Source organism: Homo sapiens, chromosome 9 (assembly GCF_000001405.40).
Source record: "Homo sapiens chromosome 9, GRCh38.p14 Primary Assembly".
Taxonomy (NCBI): Eukaryota; Metazoa; Chordata; class Mammalia; order Primates; family Hominidae; genus Homo; species Homo sapiens.
The window spans coordinates 89,256,391-89,263,902 of NC_000009.12; the positions used below are offsets into that span (position 1 = coordinate 89,256,391).

Here is a 7,512-nt window from a genome sequence, read left to right on the forward strand (position 1 = left end):
GAGCATATGGGTGAGTGATTGGGTGCGTGTACACACGTGTGAGTGAGTATGCATGTGCACATGCATATGTGTGTACATGTGTATGTGTGTATGGAGGTGTATGTGCATATGTGTGTGTCTACAAGTGTGTCTGTGTGCATGTGTGTTCCTTTTTAAATCTTAAAGGAAAACATAAGTAATTTCTAGACCTAGTCAGTGGCACCAAATTGCCATAACAGGCCATCTGGAGAAGAATGGGGGAAGGAGGAAGGGAGACCACGGCAGCCATGCACCAGGTGTTGAACACCTCTTTTCTGTTCCATCCTCATCTTGTACTGACCAACACAGACAAAGAGCAGCTGGCTCCACAGAGAAGAGGCAACCGCCTGGCCACGTGGCCCATGCATGGCCGAAATTTTGCTGGCAAGTGCCTCCACCATCAAAGATATCGCTACCCCCTGTGGAGGAGCCTCTGGGAGGCACCCAGGAGGGCGTGAAGACATTTTTCAATTACCATTCAACAAGGTGTCCAATTAAGAACATGGCACAGCTCCAAGCCTCCACGTGGCTTCTGCCTCCAGAAACAATGCCACCTGCAGAGGTAACAGGCTGGCTCTAAAAACTGAAATCCGTTACTTTAACATAGTTTTAATGAGTTTTCTAAAGTAACATTATTCTTCATCTTTTTTAACTTACTGCATTTGAAAAGTGAAATCAAATTGTTTTTAAAACAAATATTCTTTTGTAAATCCTAAATCAGGATTCTTGTCTACAAATTAAGCTAGTCCAAGTTCACTCTAATAACTTGGGTTTGCCTGGTGTTTGCAGTTTTCAGAGCTCCCCCACGTGTTAATCCTACAGGTACCAGAAGCCTTCACTGAGTGTATTGGCTGACCCATGCCGGCCAGATACGTTCTAAGACTTAGTCCTTTTAATTCTCCCAGCCATGCGGAGCCCTTTTAACTCTCCCACCCATGCTTAACTGTACTATCCTCTTACAATTAAGTAAAGGTAACGAGTGAATTTAGTGTCTTGGACTGAGTTTCTTCCTTGTACCAGGCTGGACTGGATTCCAGAACATCCAGGGATTCTGAGTGCTTCCCCTACACCTCTCCCACCCATTTACTCTCCATAGTCAGCTGAATAACAGCCCCCTAAAGATAAGCTGTCCGGCCGGGCGCGGTGGCTCACGCCTGTAATCCCAGCACTTTGGGAGGTGGAGGCGGGCAGATCACGAGGTCAGGAGATTGAGACCATCCTGGCTAACACGGTGAAACCCCGTCTCTACTAAAAACAAAAAATTAGCCGGTCGTGGTGGCGGGCGCCTGTAGTCCCAGCTACTCCAGAGGCTGAGGCAGGAGAATCGCGTGAACCGAGGAGGCGGAGCTTGCAGTGAGCTGAGACCGCGCAACTGCACTCCAGCCTGGGTGACAAAGCATGACTCCGTCTCAAAAAAAAAAAAAAAAAAAAAAGGTAAGCTGTCCACACCTAATCCCCAGAAGCTGTAAATATGTTACCTTACATAGCAAATGTGATGAAGGGTGCAGATTTTGAGACACGGAGGGTTTCCTGGACTATCCAGGTGAGTTTAATCTAGCCTCATGAGTCCTAACAGAAGAGAAGGTTTCTGGCTGAGAGAGGAATTTGAGGATGGAAGAAGGAGCAGGGGATGTGAGATAAAGAATCTGCTGTTGCTGGCTTTGAGGATGGAGGAAGGGGCCATAAACCAAGGAATGCAGGTGGCCCTAGAAGCTGGAAAAGTCAAGCAATGAAGACACAAAAATCAAATCAAGAAAACCATTCCATTTACAATAACATCAAAAGAATAAAATACTTAAGAATGCATTTAACCAAAGAAGTGCAAGACTTATACACTGAAAGCTACAAAGCACCGTGGACAAAAATTAAAGACCTAAATGTAGGAAGACACCCTGTGTTCATGGATTGAAATACTTAATATTGTGAAGATGGCAAAACTTACCAAATAGGTCTTCAGATTCAACATAATCCCTAGTTAAATTCCAACTGCAAAAAAAGAGTTTATTGCAGAAGTTGATAAGCTGATTCTAAAATTCATATGGAAATGCAAAGGACTCAGAATGCCAAAACAATCTTGAAAAAGAAGAACAAGTTGGAGGACTCACTTCTGATTTCAAAACTTACCACAAAGTTACAGTAATTAAGGCTGTGTGATAATAGAATAAGAATAGAATAAGATAATAAGACATGGATCAATGAAATAATGAAATAGTATTGAGAATCCAGAAACAAACTCGATTTGTTTTGGGCAACTGATTTTCACCCAGGGGTACCAAGACAATTCAATGGCAGAAAGAGCAGTCTTCTCAAAAAATGATGCTGAGACAACTGCATATCCACATGTAAAAGAATGAAGTTAGACTCCTCATACCATATACAAAAAATTAACTCAAAATGAAGTAAAGAGCTGAAGGCAGGACCTAAGACTATAAAACTTGAGGAAGAAAAAACAGGCATAATTCTTTGTGACATTTGATTGGGTAACAATAGTGTCTTAGATATGATCTCCAAAGTACGAGGAACCAAAGGGGGGAAAAAAAGACAAACTGGCTGTCAACAAAATTAAAAATGTTTGTGCTTCAAAGAACACTATCAAGAAAGTAAAAAAAACTCATAGAATGGAAGAAAATATTTCCAAATCATATAGCCAGTAAAGGTCTAGGATCCAGAATATATAAAGAAGTCTTAGCCAGGTGCAGTGGTTCACACCTGTAATCCCAGTGCTTTGTGAGGCCAAGATGCGAGGAGTGCTTGCAGCCAGGAGTTTGAGACCAGCCTGGGTAACATAGTGAGACTTTGTCTCTAACAAAATTATTATTTATTTATTTATTTATTTATTTATTTATTTTTATCTTTATTTTTATTTTGAGACGGAGTCTTGCTCTGTCACCCAGGCTGGAGTGAGTGGCTTGACCACAGCTCACTGCTGCCTCAACCTCCCAGGCTTAACTGATCCTCCCACCTCGGCCTTCTGAATAGCTGTGACTACAGGTGCACACCATCATGCCTGGCTATTTTTTTTTACTTTTTGTAGAGACGGAGACTCACTACATTGCCAGGGCTGGTCTCAAACTCCTGGGCTCATGTGATTCTCCCACCTTGACCTCCCAAAGTGCTGAGATTATAGGTTTGAGCCACCACACCCAGCCAAAATATAATTTTAAAAAATTAGCTGGTGGCACGCACCTGTAGACCCAGCTATTTGGGAGGCTGAGACGGGAGGATCACTTGAGCCCAGCAGCTCAAGGCTGTAGTCAGCTATGATCCCGCCACTCTGCTCCAGCCTGGGTGACAGAGACCTTGTCTCAAAAAAAAAAAAAGACAAATAATTTGATGGGAAAGGGATTAGAATAGACATTTCTCCAAAGAAGATGTAATAATTAGTAAAATGCAAATCAAAACAAAAATGAGATCCTATTTCATACCCACTAGGATAGCTATAACCAAAAAGTCAAATAATAAGAAGTGGTGACCAAGATATGGAGGAGCTGGAATCATCATGTATTGCTGGTAAGAATGTAAAATGGTGTTGCTCCTTTGGGAAACTGTGTGAAAATTCCTCAAAACTTAAACATGGAGTCACCATATGACCCAGGAGTTCCACTCCTTGTTATATATCCAAAAAAAATGGAAACATAGGTTCATCGCAGAAACTTATCCACAGTGTTTGCAATAGAATCATTTATAATCACCAAAAAGGAGAATCAAACCAAATCTATTCATCAATTGATGAATAGATAAAATACAGTATATCCCCACAATGGAATAGTGTTCAGCCATAAAAAGAAAAGTACTGATGGATGAAATTTGAAAACATTATGCTAAGTGAAACAAGTCAGATAAAAAAGATCCTCACATATTTTATATTATTACATTTGTGTGAAATGTCCAGAATAGGCAAATCCTTAGAGACAGAAAGTTGATTAGTCTCAAAATAAATACATAAATAAAGCTGTTACTTTTCAGTAAGTAGTTTTGGTGCAGTGTCAGTATAAATTGAAAATACACAGTTTATAAAATTGTAGGCTTGATACAATCTCATTTTGATTTAAAGTGTTTGTGTGTGTGTGTGTATGTGTGGTGTGTGTATTTGTGGTGTGGTGTGTATGTGTGGAGTGTGCATGTATATGTGTAGTGTGTGGTGTGTTGTGTATGTGGTGTGGGGGGTATGTGGTGTGTGCATGCAGTGTGTGTGTGGTGTGATGCATGCTGTTGTGTGTGGTGTGTGTATGTGGTGTGTGTGTGCTGTGTGTGTTGTGTTGCGTGTGTGCTGCATGATATGTGTGTGGTGTGTGTGTATGGTGTGTGGTGCACGTGTGCTGGGTATGTGCTCTGTGGTGTGTGTGTGGCATGTGTGGTGTGTGTGTGTGTGTGTCTTGTGGTGTGTGTGTATGTGCTGCATTGTATGTGTATGGTGTTTGTGTAGTGTGTGGTATGTGTATGCAGTGTGTGTGCAGATGGAGGATATGAAGGTATAAAGCAACATTTAAATACAGGTATTATTTATTTTATATTTTTGCTTACCTTTATTTTCTGTGTCATATCATGAGATGTATTAAAAATTATTTTAAGGTTTTAAAATAAGGATGTAACTGACCCTGAGGACCATCCCTGTCTTCATTTCTCTTGATCTTACAAACCATTTCCTCCCTCAGCCCTTCCATCAAGGTCATCAGACTGAAAGACTTAAAACTTCCTACGCGCTCAGAATCTCTCTTACAATCTGTACTAACACATTTTCTGTCCCGGATAATCTAAAGGAAGAACCAACCATGCACTCCTATCCTAGTAAGCAACATGGAGAATCATGAGGCCTGGCCCTCCAGGGGTCCTGGCTATGCAAGAAAAAACCTAGTTCCTCATCAGCCACTATCCAGGGGCTCAGCCCCACGTCCTGCTTTTCAGGAGCCCAGCCTCAGAGCCGTCATGGCCTCATCCACTCCTGGATCTTCAGCATCTACCTTGGCTGGAAGCCTACATGATCATCAGACCCAAAGCCACACCCCACCTGCTCTGCTAGGGTGGCGCTTCTGCATCCCTTCTCTTAGCCCTGACCAAACCTTTCCAACTGCACCACCTTTGTCCCAACCCAGCAGCTTGATGTTGAGTATTGAAGAGTCTAACCCTCAGCATTAAGCTGAGCACTAAGACCCAGCAGGCTGTGCTTGGGTCTTCCAAGTGCCAGAAGGAAAGAGCAAGGAGGAGGAAACTGACACGCACTGACCTGTCACTATGTTCCTTGCATAAATTATCTTACTTTTTCTTCACAATTGCACAGCAAATATGTTATTGGTGTCATCTCCATTTTAAAATAAGGAAACTGAGATTCAGAGAGGGTAAATGGCTTGTCCAACACATTGATGAGTAAACCCCAGAACTGGGATTCCAAACCCTTACTTCTTCTGCTACTGTTACCTATAAGTGCCCCACTGTTTTTTGTTGTTGTTATGAAGTCCTATACCTATACAAGAGATGCAAGATTGAAGCAGAGATCTAGCAGAAACTCTGCCAGCTGGAAGGAAGAGCACATTGAATCAGTTCCATGGGTGAATCATGAGTGAGGGAATCAAATACCTGATGTGTGAGGGCTGACACTGGGGACAATGCAAAGATAAATAGCAAGAATTGGGTTGAGGGAATCAGGAAAGATATCGACCAGAGCAGAAAGCTAAGAACATGATAATGCCAGTTTAGGCCTCAGAAGGGGGATGTATGTGTTTCTGAAAGCCAAAAAAATGACTAGGAGCTCAAACAATTGTATTGATTGTGTGCTGAGGATTAGATGACAACAGAGAAAGGATGACCTAGAATGAGAGGAATCAGAGAGAAAAAGGCAAACTTCCCTTTGCTTGGGCCACTTGCTCTTAGAAGCCAGCCATCATGACATAAAGAAGCCCTAGCAGGACCGTGGAGGCCCACATGGAGAGGAACCAAAGCCCCAGACAAGCTACCAGCCAACACCCAGCACCACAGAGCCCTCCAAATGCATGCATGCCAGTCATTCCTCCCAGGTGACATTGCATGAAATAGAGATGGCAAAGCTCTGCCCAATTCTATATTTTGGAGCAAAATAAATGGCATTGTTAAAGGAAGAAAACACCTCCCTGGAAATTTAAGAGACTGATTCTAACATTCATTTCACAGATGAGAAAACTAAGACTCCAAAAAATTAAATACCTTTCCTAATGTTATATACAGTGGTGGAAGCAAATTTCCACACAGGTCTTAATGTGAAACTCATCATTTCAGCCCTCATGCTGGATCTATTTTACTACACCATCTAAGATGTTACCATTCCTGCAAAATACCTCATGCTCATGAGAGCACCACCACTTCTGCAAAAAAAGCAGAGCTCTCTGGGATTACCTACTAAGCTATCCTGAAGCTCCTTCAAGGACATCTCAGAAGAATGTGTGCACACTACACACAAGCACCCCAAACACGACCTGTTTTCAAGTCTCCAGACCTCTTTCTGCTCAAGTATTCTCAGGCAGGCATGCACTCCTACTCTTTCCTGCCCTCTGCAGCCCCACTACTCATGCAAAGACGACTGAAACGCATTCAGCTTCATGACTTAAGTCGAGCTAAAATTAATTTTTCTCAAAGTTAACTGTTTTGTAATAACCAATTATTTTGCCTTACCTTTCTTAAAATTTCTTTTATCCTGCCTTATAAAAGTTGTTCTTCTCATTTGGAAATGGTGTTTATGTAACTTATAATTAAAAATAATCTGGATTAATTTATTTGTCAAATAAATGCTCTTTTTAAAAGAAATTCACAAGCCAGACACAGTGTGGTGCACGCCTGTAGTCCCAGTGACTTGGGAGGCTGAAGTGGGAGGATCAATTGAATCTAAGAATATGAGGCCAGCCTGGAAAACATAAGGAGATCCCCATCTCTATTTTTAAAAACAAAAAAAAAGAAATTCAAAATGATAATATGACAGTTTCTTGGCATATATAGAAGTGGCATATTTTATTAAACAATATACTATTAGTTTTATTATTTATATATTCATATTTATTATTAATATTTGCTATATTAGTCATTTACTTATTGTAGTGGACATCTCTTGGATTGCCTTTCCAACCCTCTTTCTGAAGCTACCCTTTCTTCTTCTTCTTCTGTATTCCCATAACTATTAGAATGAAAGCTCCCTGGGGACAAGGACATTGCTTTGTTTACTGCTGTATCTCTATACTTAAAACACTGCAAGGTACCTGGAAGTGCTTCATAATTATTTACTGAATCAATGATTTTAGCAAGAAGTCTTCCGCAGTCAAGTGGCCTCAACCCTCTGGATACTAAGTCAATAAGTGATGTATTAGGAAAGCAACATTTGGAACTGGAATAAGAAAGAATGGTAGTCTCTATCCAACAGACTAAATGGATAATATATACCTTTAGGAGCTCTCTTGTATATCATGTGAACCCGAGATTCAGAGGAAGCTTATCTTCATGAAAGGCAAGAATTACAGGAAAAGAATAGTCTTT

General features: G+C 41.2%; 1 annotated feature.

The window, feature by feature from the left end:
* Window positions 1,264–1,558: an enhancer, noted in NCBI's record as "tiled region #4063; HepG2 Activating non-DNase unmatched - State 18:Pol2, and K562 Activating DNase matched - State 3:PromF". NCBI's record gives its function as "activates a minimal TATA promoter and a strong SV40 promoter by Sharpr-MPRA in HepG2 and K562 cells {active_cell/tissue: HepG2 | K562}" and the evidence as "EXISTENCE:reporter gene assay evidence [ECO:0000049][PMID:27701403]".